The sequence below is a fragment of the Homo sapiens genome, chromosome 7 (assembly GCF_000001405.40).
Source record: "Homo sapiens chromosome 7, GRCh38.p14 Primary Assembly".
Taxonomy (NCBI): Eukaryota; Metazoa; Chordata; class Mammalia; order Primates; family Hominidae; genus Homo; species Homo sapiens.
The window spans coordinates 30,628,021-30,640,740 of record NC_000007.14 but is presented as its reverse complement, the minus strand read 5'-3'; the positions used below and the strand labels follow the sequence as shown (position 1 = coordinate 30,640,740).

The window sequence follows — 12,720 nt, the reverse complement described above, 5'->3', positions numbered from 1 at the left end:
GTGTGCTGTATTCAGGAAACCCATCTCACGTGCAGAGACACACATAGGCTCAAAATAAAAGGATGGAGGAAGATCTACCAAGCAAATGGAAAACAAAAAAAGGCAGGGGTTGCAATCCTAGTCTCTGATAAAACAGACTTTAAACCAACAAAGATCAAAAGAGACAAAGAAGGCCATTACATAATGGTAAAGGGATCAATTCAACAAGAAGAGCTAACTATCGTAAATATATATGCACCCAATACAGGAGCACCCAGATTCATAAAGCAAGTCCTGAGTGACCTACAAAGAGACTTAGACTCCCACACATTAATAATGGGAGACTTTAACACCCCACTGTCAACATTAGACAGATCAATGAGACAGAAAGTCAACAAGGATACCCAGGAATTGAACTCAGCTCTGCACCAAGCAGACCTAATAGACATCTACAGAACTCTCCACCCCAAATCAACAGAATATACATTTTTTTCAGCACCACACCACACCTATTCCAAAATTGACCACATACTTGGAAGTAAAGCTCTCCTCAGCAAATGTAAAAGAACAGAAATTATAACAAACTATCTCTCAGACCACAGTGCAATCAAACTAGAACTCAGGATTAAGAATCTCACTCAAAACCGCTCAACTGCATGGAAACTGAACAACCTGTTCCTGAATGACTACTGGGTACATAACGAAATGAAGGCAGAAATAAAGATGTTCTTTGAAACCAATGAGAACAAAGACACAACATACCAGAATCTCTGGGACGCATTCAAAGCAGTGTGTAGAGGGAAATTTATAGCACTAAATGTCCACAAGAGAAAGCAGGAAAGATCCAAAATTGACACCCTAACATCACAATTAAAAGAACTAGAAAAGCAAGAGCAAACACATTCAAAAGCTAGCAGAAGGCAAGAAATAACTAAGATCAGAGCAGAACTGAAGGAAATAGAGACACAAAAAACCCTTCAAAAAATTAATGAATCCAGGAGCTGGTTTTTTGAAAGGATCAACAAAACTGATAGACCGCTAGCAAGACTAATAAAGAAAAAAAGAGAAGAATCTAATAGACGCAATAAAAAATGATAAAGGGGATATCACCACCGATCCCACAGAAATACAAACTACGATCAGAGAATAGTACAAACACCTCTACGCAAATAAACTAGAAAATCTAGAAGAAATGGATAAATTCCTCGACACATACACTCTCCCACGACTAAACCAGGAAGAAGTTGAATCTCTGAATAGACCAATAACAGGATCTGAAATTGTGGCAATAATCAATAGCTTACCAACCAAAAAGAGTCCAGGACCAGATGGATTCACAGCTGAATTCTACCAGAGGTACAAGGAGGAACTGGTACCATTCCTTCTGAAACTATTCCAATCAATAGAAAAAGAGGGAATCGTCCCTAACTCATTTTATGAGGCCAACATCATTCTGATACCAAAGCCAGGCAGAGACACAACAAAAAAAGAGGATTTTAGACCAATATCCTTGATGAACATTGATGCAAAAATCCTCAATAAAATACTGGCAGACCGAATCCAGCAGCACATCAAAAAGCTTATCCACCATGATCAAGTGGGCTTCATCCCTGGGATGCAAGGCTGGTTCAATATACGCAAATCAATAAATGTAATCCAGCATATAAACAGAGCCAAAGACAAAAACCACATGATTATCTCAATAGATGCAGAAAAAGCCTTTGACAAAATTCAACAACCCTTCATGCTAAAAACTCTCAATAAATTAGGTATTGATAGGACGTATTTCAAAATAATAAGAGCTATCTATGACAAACCCACAGCCAATATCATACTGAATGGGCAAAAACTGGAAGCATTCCCTTTGAAAACTGGCACAAGACAGGGATGCCCTCTCTCACCACTCCTATTCAACATAGTGTTGGAAGTTCTGGCCAGGGCAATTAGGCAGGAGAAGGAAATACAGGGTATTCAATTAGGAAAAGAGGAAGTCAAATTGTCCCTGTTTGCAGACGACATGATTGTATATCTAGAAAACCCCGTTGTCTCAGCCCAAAATCTCCTTAAGCTGATAAGCAACTTCAGCAAAGTCTCAGGATACAAAATCAATGTATAAAAATCACAAGCATTCTTATACACCAAACAACAGACAAACAGAGAGCCAAATCATGAGTGAACTCCCATTCACAATTGCTTCAAAGAGAATAAAATACCTAGGAATCCAACTTACAAGGGATGTGAAGGACCTCTTCAAGGAGAACTACAAACCACTGCTCAAGGAAATAAAAGAGGATACAAACAAATGGAAGAACATTCCATGCTCATGGGTAGGAAGAATCAATATCGTGAAAATGGCCATACTGCCCAAGGTAATTTACAGATTCAATGCCATCCCCATCAAGCTACCAATGACTTTCTTCACAGAATTGGAAAAAACTACTTTAAAGTTCATATGGAACCAAAAAAGAGCCCGCATCGCCAAGGCAATCCTAAGCCAAAAGAACAAAGCTGGAGGCATCACGCTACCTGACTTCAAACTATACTACAAGGCTACAGTAACCAAAACAGCATGGTACTGGTACCAAAACAGAGATATAGATCAATGGAACAGAACAGAGCCCTCAGAAATAACGCCGCATATCTACAACTATCTGATCTTTGACAAACCTGAGAAAAACAAGCAATGGGGAAAGGATTCCCTATTTAATAAATGGTGCTGGGAAAACTGGCTAGCCATATGTAGAAAGCTGAAACTGGATCCCTTCCTTACACCTTATACAAAAATCAATTCAAGATGGATTAAAGACTTAAACGTTAGACCTAAAACCATAAAAACCCTAGAAGAAAACCTAGGCATTACCATTCAGGACATAGGCATGGGCAAGGACTTCATGTCTAAAACACCAAAAGCAATGGCAACAAAAGACAAAATTGACAAATGGGATCTAATTAAATTAAAGAGCTTCTGCATAGCAAAAGAAACTACCATCAGAGTGAACAGGCAACCTACAACATGGGAGAAAATTTTCGCAACCTACTCATCTGACAAAGGGCTAATATCCAGAATCTACAATGAACTCAAACAAATTTACAAGAAAAAAACAAACAACCCCATCAAAAAGTGGGCGAAGGACATGAACAGACACTTCTCAAAAGAAGACATTTATGCAGCCAAAAAACACATGAAAAAATGCTCATCATCACTGGCCATCAGAGAAATGCAAATCAAAACCACAATGAGATACCATCTCACACCAGTTAGAATGGCAATCATGAAAAAGTCAGGAAACAACAGGTGCTGGAGAGGATGTGGAGAAATAGGAACACTTTTACACTGTTGGTGGGACTGTAAACTAGTTCAACCATTGTGGAAGTCAGTGTGGCGATTCCTCAGGGATCTAGAACTGGAAATACCATTTGACCCAGCCATCCCATTACTGGGTATATACCCAAAGGACTATAAATCATGCTGCTATAAAGACACATGCACATGTATGTTTATTGCGGCATTATTCACAATAGCAAAGACTTGGAACCAACCCAAATGTCCAACAATGATAGACTGGATTAAGAAAATGTGGCACATATACACCATGGAATACTATGCAGCCATAAAAAATGATGAGTTCATGTCCTTTGTAGGGACATGGATGAAATTGGAAAACATCATTCTCAGTAAACTATTGCAAGAACAAAAAACCAAACACCGCATATTCTCACTCATAGGTGGGAATTGAACAATGAGAACAGATGGACACAGGAAGGGGAATATCACACTGGAGACTGTTGTGGGGTGGGGGGAGGGGGGAGGTATAGCATTGGGAGATATACCTAATGCTAGATGACGAGTTAGTGGGTGCAGTGCACCAGCATGGCACACGTATACGTATGTAACTAACCTGCACAATGTGCACATGTACCCTAAAACTTAAAGTATAATTAAAAAAAAAAAAGAAAATTTTCAGGAAAAAAGCATGAGAGTTATTATAAAGGTGTTAATTTCCTCATATACATAATAAATGAATACCGTGATTCTATATATTTTCCCTGATGGCTAATCTAAAAAGATTAAATTCTTAAATAATAGTTAAAAGCAGAAAAATAGAAAATATCTAATTGTATGTTTTTGTATTAGATGCTGATCATACTTTAATTCTATAATTCAAAATAGTATCAACCCATTTCTAAAATGACACTCTGTAAAATAATTTAAAGTGTTAATTATATGAGAAAATTACACATACATGTCTTCTTTAAACTTTTTTAAGTGGCTTTGTTTTCATTAGACTGTATTATTTGTAATCAGTATAGTTTAGTAAAGTTATTTTGAAAATAAAGATAATTTTTGTTATCCTTTGTTTTTCTCACGTTTAATGTCAGTCTTCCAAAGAAAAATAAAATTTGGCACTAAGCACAAGAAAAAAAAAAAAAAGAATCTGACCTTCCCCCATCATTTTTGGGAGAAGTAATAAACAGGAGTAACTTCTCCAAGATACAATGCTATTTATCTCACTCTTGTTAAGCCCACAGTCCGGTACGTACAGGTATATAAATAATTTAAAAGGCCTCAAAGAGCATTAAGCCAGAAAGACCCATGCTTTAAATACACATTGGGCTTGAACAGAAGAGGTGTGTGCGTATGCATACGCAAACTCGTGGGTAAAGAGTCTCTTCATTTAGAAAACAGCACTTCAACTGCTTGTTCTTAAAATCAAGCAAACATGGTACAGACAGAACCAGAGAGCTCTGCTGCCGGCCCGTCTCCCTCACTCAGGTATCACTTTAGAGACCTGCTTTAGAGCAGGTGATCCAGGAGAAATCACGCATTGCTACCCAGGGGAAGGAACAAAAGAGGGCTTGCAGATTCAATATCCAGCCTCTACCTCATGACAAATGTATTTGCCAATGAAAAGGGAAGTGAGGCTTGGTTCCAATCCCTTTCTGATCCAAAGTATTAGGCTGGTGCAAAAGTAATTATGGTTTTTGTCATTACTTTATTTATTTATTTTTTTGAGATGGAGTCTCGCTCTGTGCCCAGACTGGAGTGCAGTGGCACAATCTCAGCTAACTGAAACCTCCGCCTCCCGGGTTCAAGTGATTCTCCTGCCTCAGCCTCCCATGTAGCTGGGAGTACAGGAACGTGCCACCACACCCGGCCGATTTTTGTATTTTTAGTAGACGGGGTTTCACTGTGTTGGCCAGGCTGGTCTCGAACTCCTGACCTCAAATGATCCGCCCGCCTTGGCCTCCCAAAGTGCTGGGATTACAGGCATGAGCCACCGCGCCCAGCCTGTCATTACTTTTAATGGCAAAAACCGCAACTACTTTGGCACCAACCTGATGATAGGTAACTCTCACTATGTATTTAATGTATCTTTCCCTATTAATGAGCTTAAACCAATGTCTGAGGCTGTGGTGACTGTTTGACTATGGAGGTACCTGCTGTAAAAGCAGCAAATAAATGCAGTTAGGGCAGCCCCCTGCCAATGTAAAGCTGCTAGAACATATGCCCAGTTAAAAGCTATATTATATGGAATTCGAAGTGAGAGAAATCCCTAGAAAATGAAAACTCAGTTTATTTAAAATCTGGCTCCTTCTAATTTAATAATGAATGCTCATAAAAGCAGAGACGGAAGAGAAATATGCTTCAGTATAAGGCTTTCCTCCCAAAGAGGTTTGTTCAAAAAAGAAGTCTGTTCAAAAATTCGAGACTCATCCAAAGACTATTTATGGAAGACCTACTATGTACAGCACTGCGGTAGGCACCACTGGAGATGAGATACAAATGAGGGAAATCCCTGGGAGATTCCTACTTTACATCTAAGAAATCACAACTTCAATTGTTCTTCATACTAGAAACAAAAGGGCACACTGGAGATCACCACTCCTCTATCCAATACTGCAGGGGAGGAAGTGGGCACACTAGATAAGGTCATAGCTCTGCAAATAAACAGCTGCTCAAATTCACACAACCTGGAATTTTTCCCTTACAAATAAGCACAGCGTTCTGAGTTTTCTATACAAAAACATAAAAGAAGTAAAGTACCTTAAAACCTGAGCCAAAAACTGCTAGGCTAGAATCAAGACACTGCGATGGTCAGGAATTGCTAAATCAGACGAGAGAGATGGGTTCCCCTAGCATCAAGAGCTTAATGATTTCCAGGCTACCAGTGGAGCTGAGTGCAAGCATGCCTTAAGATAGAAGGCAAATATGGCAAGGCCCTCCCCTCCTGGAGAATCTGCAAACAGTGGGGTTAGCAGCCCTAAAGCACCACTCCTGCCACCCCATCCTCACCTCAGGCTTTTCCAGAAGTCATTTCACCTGCTTGGAGACTGCTGTCACAGTACCTGCACACTGCGTCATTTTCTCAGAATAAGATAAAGAATAGAAAAGGTAAATCAATAGACAGAAAGTAGAGGAGTGGTTGCCTGGGCTGAGGTTAGAATGGGAGTGAGGTAAATGAGCATGAGACTTATTTTGGAGTGATGAAAATGTTCTAAAATTGGTTTGTGGTGGTGGTTGCACAACTCTGTAAATATACTAAACATCATTGAACTGTACACTTAAGACAGGCTATTTTTATGGTATGTAAATTATACCCCAATAAAGCTGTTAATTTTTTAAAAAGTGTTAACTGTGTTTAACATTAAGCCATGAGCATGTCTACCCAAACGTGGGAGAAACAGCCTTGCTGAAAATGTAAAAACACAAGCAAATAGATCACAAGTTTGTTCAGGATTCCTTCAACTTTAATTGTGGGGGTAAAATCAGGCAGCCACTGAAGATAAAATACGGTCCCTGGGAGTAATCACAATGCTGTTTTCTTTTGTAAAGTGGACATAAGAGTAGTTTTTTTTTTTTTTTATTAGCGCAAGTGGTCAAAAGTTGTCAAAATTGTCCTCATTCCTCGATTGTCTCTTTTTTACCAGTCTCTTGCCCTTCAAACAGAGGATACCTGGCCTCCACATCAGCCCATGTGATGTTGCCATTGGCTAGGTCTTGGACTATGCTGGGCAGCTCAGAGATCTAGAGACAAGGAAAGAGAAGCCAAGTATCAACCAACTTGTTCAGATTTTTAAGAAGAAGATTCATCCTGAACTCAGGAAACCTTACACAGAGCCAAACAATGTCATGCCAGGCATGGGTTCATGCTCTTCTAGCCCAAAACGCCCACCAGTTCCCCCAGACAACTCAATTCTGCCACAAAGCCTTTCCTAACTTTTCTAAATCTCCATGTCCCTTGAAGTTACTTCATGTGTATTAAATTTAACTATTAGAACAAACAGGACTCAGTCAAGTAACTCGTGTGAGGGAATTACATAAGACTGGCAAACTGGAGAGCTCTGACCAAGGCTACTGTTCCTCAGCCAAAACCAAACACTGGCTGCCACACAGCAATGGTTCTCAAACTTGAGTGCACGTCAGAATCATCTGGAGGTCTTGCTAAAACTAAGAAAGTTCTGCCTGCCCCCTCTGCCTCTCCACCCCCAGTTTATGATGCAGTAGGTCTGGGGTGGAGGTTTTGCTTATCTCATACATTTCCAGGGGATACTGATGCTGCTGGTCTAGGGACCACACTTTTGAGAACCACACCCAGATGGGGACACAGCTCCAGAGTAGCCAGATGGTCTCTAAAAAGTCAAGCTAGAAATTCACGACTTCTGGATTAGACTATAAACTCCTTCAGAAAAAAAAGCAGTCTTTTGCTTCTGTTTTCCCTATTACTTCTGTATCAAGCTAAGCACAGAACAGGCACTTGATGTATGTGCTCAAAGGTGATAAATTAGGCAGGCAGATGTCAATTAAAGCAGCTACTCTTTCCTTTCCCTTACCACTCATCCTTCTCCTTCTGTGCTTCTACCATCTCCATTACTGCCTTCCTATTGACCAAAACTACTGAAACATGATTCACTGTTTTGAATATATGAACACGGAAAAGCTTATACATACACATGTATACGCGTCTGTAAAAATAAAACATTAAAATGTCTAACCCTCCAAAGCCTACCAATAAAACTATGGCAACAAATTCTTAGGATCATATTTCTCTTGCCCAATAAACAAACAAGTATAAAAGCAAACTGCTGGAGAATAAGCCTGGAGCAACACAAATGTTTATAAAATATTAGAGAAGTGCTAATGGATATTTTCATAATTAAACCGGGGGACTTGAGAATCTGGGCTCTGTCTGATACAAGCCGTTCATTAAAATTAAAAAGAAAAAAAAAGGAAAGGGAGCATAAACACATCAAAATCCAACACAAATCAGTAAGAAGCAGTACACATTTCTAAGGCTAAAAATGCCAAAGAGAAGGCCAGATACCTCTGCTCTTATCTGCCGCATTGAGTCACGGTCCCTCAGAGTTGCAGTGTGGGGGGTCTTGTTCACTGTGTCAAAGTCAATGGTGACACCAAAAGCCACGCCAATCTCATCAGTCCTGGCATAGCGCCTTCCGATTGACCCAGAGGAATCGTCTACTTTGTGAGATACTCCATGCCTGGTCAGGGCTTCCGCTATCCAAAATAAACAAAGTAAATTAAAAATAAAACAATGGAGTTAAGCCCAGTGTTATCTAACTACTGTCTTACAAGCTCAGGAGACTTATAAATGGGACCAAGACAAGAAAGCAACAAGTTGAGTTGCAAGAGAAAGAAATATCCCTAAAGTTTAATAAATCCCTTGCGGGAATCCAAATCTTCACTCATACCTCCATCTGATACAGCTATAGGGGGAACAAATATGGGACCAAGAGCCAAGGCCAGAAGGTGAGTCCTGACTCCACCACCTCTATTTTTATGGCTCTAAGCAGGTCAATGGACTCTCCCCATTTCCCAGCTCTGAAATAAGTGGATGTGCCAGATGACCACCAGGATTCCTTTCAGGGCTGTGGATTCTGTGGCTGTAGATCCATTATGGTTGCTACACTCCACTCAGGTTCCCTCGATGAACTTGGCACCAAGGTCAGTATGAGAAGTAAATAATTTTTAAATCTGACTCTTGGGTCCTACCTTGCCTCACTCAAATGCCAGAATAAAACATCTGAGCAAGCATATCCTCTCGCTTAGAAATAAGAGTACAGGCTAAAATCATGTACTCTTTATAAAATCATTTATATTCTTTATTCAGTCTATATTTTTATTGAAATAAATGATACATTTCCTAAAATTCAGTCTCCTTGATGGTGTTCCCATGGAGTTTACCCAATTGAATTTGCTTACATAATTCCTTGACAAATGGCATGAACTCCTGGTTTTGGCTCAGTGGGAGGACGGAACATTTGAATGGAGCAACTACAGCAGGGAAACTGAAGAACTGGATGATTTAAAAAGAAAAAAATCCAAATATGTTAATTTGTAAATATCTAAATGCTAATATCCCAAACCAAAAGAGGTTAATATTCAGCAAGTGTTCAAGCATAACGTCATTACCAAAATGCCAGAAAACATGACATGAAAAGCAGTATGGCAAAAGAGAAGCAGAACCAGCATCAGAAACACCTGGTTTCAGCTCCGAATTTAGGCCAAGTCATGAACTCTTTCTGAACCTTAGTTTCTCCACCTAAAAAGCAGGTCTCTACCACCTGCTCTGCTTGCTTCACAAGCCCGTTACTAAAAAAGTCAAATGATGTGAAAGCATTCTGAAAGCTACTGTATATAAAAGACGGTAATTTTTTGGTTCCACATAAAAGACTTTCTGTGGAGACTACCTAAATATTCAAACAAGTGGCAGTGACCCAAACCAAAGCCCATTCTGTCTTTTAAGAGAAAAACCTATGAACCTCAGTGACCAAGTGAAACAGAAAAGTTTAATTAGCTCACAAACATATGTCCAAAAGAAATAGTACAAAACAAAAAAAGATGTTCCATATACCTACACTAAAAAGTACAGCCTTCTTAAACTGCCCTGAAATAGTTTCTGAGTAACTCAGAAATCAAAGAAAGCAAAAATAAGGCTGGACACAGTGGCTCATGCCTGTAATCCCAGCACTTTGGGAGGCTGAGGCAGAAGAATTGCTTGACCCCAGGAATTCAAGACCAGCCAGGGCAACATGGCAAGACCCCATCTCTACAAAAACTAAAAAATTAGCTGGGCATTGTGAGGCGCACCTGTGGTCCCAGCTACTTGGGAGGCTGAAGCAGGAGGATTGCTTGAGCCCAGAAGTTTGAGGCTGTAGTCAGCTGAGATTGTGCCACTGCACTCCAGCTGAGCAACAAAGCGAGACCAAAAAAAAAAAAAAAAAAAGGCGAAAATAAAAATATTCTGTGGAAGGCAAACCAATCAACCACTTTAGGTTGGAAATGGGAACTGAAGGCAGTTCTTAATACTTGTACAAAAGGTTCACTTGAAGGCAAAAACACAGAATAAATTTGTCCCATAAAAATAATGAATGACACAGGTTCCAGTTTAGCCTCTCACCCAAAGTTCAATTAACCTTTATTGCCAAGCAATGAATATCCCACTCTAAGTAAGGCCTGTATTCCACCAATATGGCTGCTCACATCACAGAAGGTTCAGAATTCTATTCCCTTCCTCCATCTTGTGATATTTCTATTTAATATAAGAGAGTAACAGGGACCTGCCTTTATAGAAAAATAATTTTTAAAATTTCACTAGCAATGTTTTTATACCAAATTTATAGGCAAATGGATTGAGGAACTAGGTGCTAATAATTTAGAAACATTTTTGGCTTCCCACAGCCTAATCAAATTTCTCTTCATGATGGGAATTCATGCAATTCATAAAACACTGTGACTAATTTATTCTTGTTTAGCCCTTACGAAATTTCTATTAAAGCTCTAGTTATATTAATATTGTTAGATTCAAAGGAACAGCTAAAAGATTTTCTAAAACCTTTTTATTAGAAAAATAAGCAGACAAAGCTTGAAGCAGACTTGACATCTAAAAAGAACACATGCAGTTATGTTTGTCATCATTTCTCAAAAAGAACCAAGCCTTATGTTTGCGCACCTGGGGCCTAGCCCAGGTTCTTACAATCTGTTGAATGAATAGGGCTGCTCCTTCAAGGTTGGGAAATGAAGATGCAACTTTAGGGCAGAGAGTACCATACTAACTTTATTAGCTATGTATTACAATAGTGTGTCAGACTAAAGTACTGGTGCCGAGAACTCACTAGTTCATTCTTTGAGGTTAAATGTCCTAGAAAGAACCACACGGTTGATGTCTAACATTACGTACACTCAAGCTTTAGAATGGCCAAGTGGATGACGCTGTTTCTTTCAATTAACCTGACATATACAACCTCTCCTTTCTAGCCATTCTTCTGGTTGGCTTTCCTAGTAATCTGCCCAGGAGTGTAACTTCTGCAGGCAGAGGTGAGGTAAAAATGGTGAAGTAAGGCAAGGAGATAAAGAGGAAGAAGGCAAGGAGCAGTGATTCAGAAGCATCAGACCGAAAAGAAAATTTGTGGGAGCTGATGAAGACTTCTTATAAACTTCTATCTTCAGCAATACTTGAATGCTAGGAAAGGCTATACCCCAGACAACTATTATCCCATTTATGATCTGTCAAGCTTTCACAGTGAAATCACTCAGGATTCTTATTTTTTTTAAAAAAACCCCAGATCCCTGGGTCTCAGACCTAGTGAATCAGCATCTCCAGAGTAGAACCTAGGAATTCACATCTTTACCCCAAAAGTACCCCAGACAATTTCATGCAGTTTGAGAGGGTTCCCTTTGATACTTTACCAGAGTACAGATACAGCTTAGTGGTCTGGCTAAATTCTAGGAGTTATCTCATCCTTCCCAATTTTCTGAAACACAGCATATCCAGAAAGTACCATTCCTTCCATTGACATAATATAGATTGTTCCCCAAAGTAATAGGTTCAGTCTAAGAATAGAGAGCACCAGGCAACTAAAACAATAGCTTCTAGAATAACCTAAAGCTCAAATAAGATAACACAGGAAACTGGTTTGTCTATACATACTTAAGCAAAGATGAGTGTTAATAGCACTAGATTATAGTAATAACTAATTGACCATTCTAGAGTCTTATTAATGTACTTCACAATGTAATTCAGAAAATTTTTATTTTCTGACACTATAACAGCACACTGTACACAACAACTTACTGTTCTCTGTTCATCTCCTTCTCGTACATGGAATGTATGTTCAAATACCGTATACATGATCCTACCCAGGCCGAAGGAAGGTTCAATTACATTCGGAACAACTTCTTCCACTGAAAAAGAGATAGAAATTCAATAACATTCTCTCAAATACCACATAATGCATTTCAGATTCTCTCTAAACAATTCACCAGCTGCGGTGGCTCACACCTGTAATCCCAGCATTTTGGGAGGCTGAGGTAGGTGGATCATCTGAGGTCAGGAGTTCGAGACCAGCCTGACCAACATGGTGAAACCCCGTCTCTACTAAAAATACAAAAATTAACTGGGTATGGTGGCAGGTGCGTGTAATCCCAGCTACTCCGGAGGCTGAGGCAGGAGAATTGCTTGAACCCAGGAGGCGGAGGTTGCAGTGAACCAAGATCGTGCCATTGCACTCCAGCCTGGAAGGCAAGGGCGAGACTTCATCTCAAAAAAAAAAAAAGAAAAGAAAAGAAAAAAATTCTTAGCACTAAAAATATCTCTATTCTAGATGGATTTTTATCTCTGTATATCAGAACAAAGAAACTAGAACATACCTAAAAACTATTTGCTGATAGGAAACATGCCTTTGAAGAGAAAGCTGGAGTGAAAAAACCTTTCACCAAATTCT

The 12,720-nt window shown here is 39.4% G+C and overlaps 1 protein-coding gene across 2 annotated transcripts in view; it reads right to left on the bottom strand.

The window, feature by feature from the left end:
* The window catches only part of GARS1 (glycyl-tRNA synthetase 1), a 39,299-nt gene continuing 33,286 nt past the window's right edge, over positions 6,708 to 12,720 (bottom strand). For both annotated transcript variants that reach the window (NM_001316772.1, NM_002047.4), the window contains exons 14-17: positions 12,072 to 12,181; positions 9,200 to 9,293; positions 8,304 to 8,494; positions 6,708 to 7,006 (exon numbers count right to left, since the gene is read on the bottom strand). In NM_001316772.1, coding sequence (NP_001303701.1) covers positions 6,881 to 7,006; positions 8,304 to 8,494; positions 9,200 to 9,293; positions 12,072 to 12,181 — 521 coding nt within the window. In that variant the 3' untranslated portion in view covers positions 6,708 to 6,880. The remainder of the gene's footprint in view (positions 7,007 to 8,303; positions 8,495 to 9,199; positions 9,294 to 12,071; positions 12,182 to 12,720) is intronic.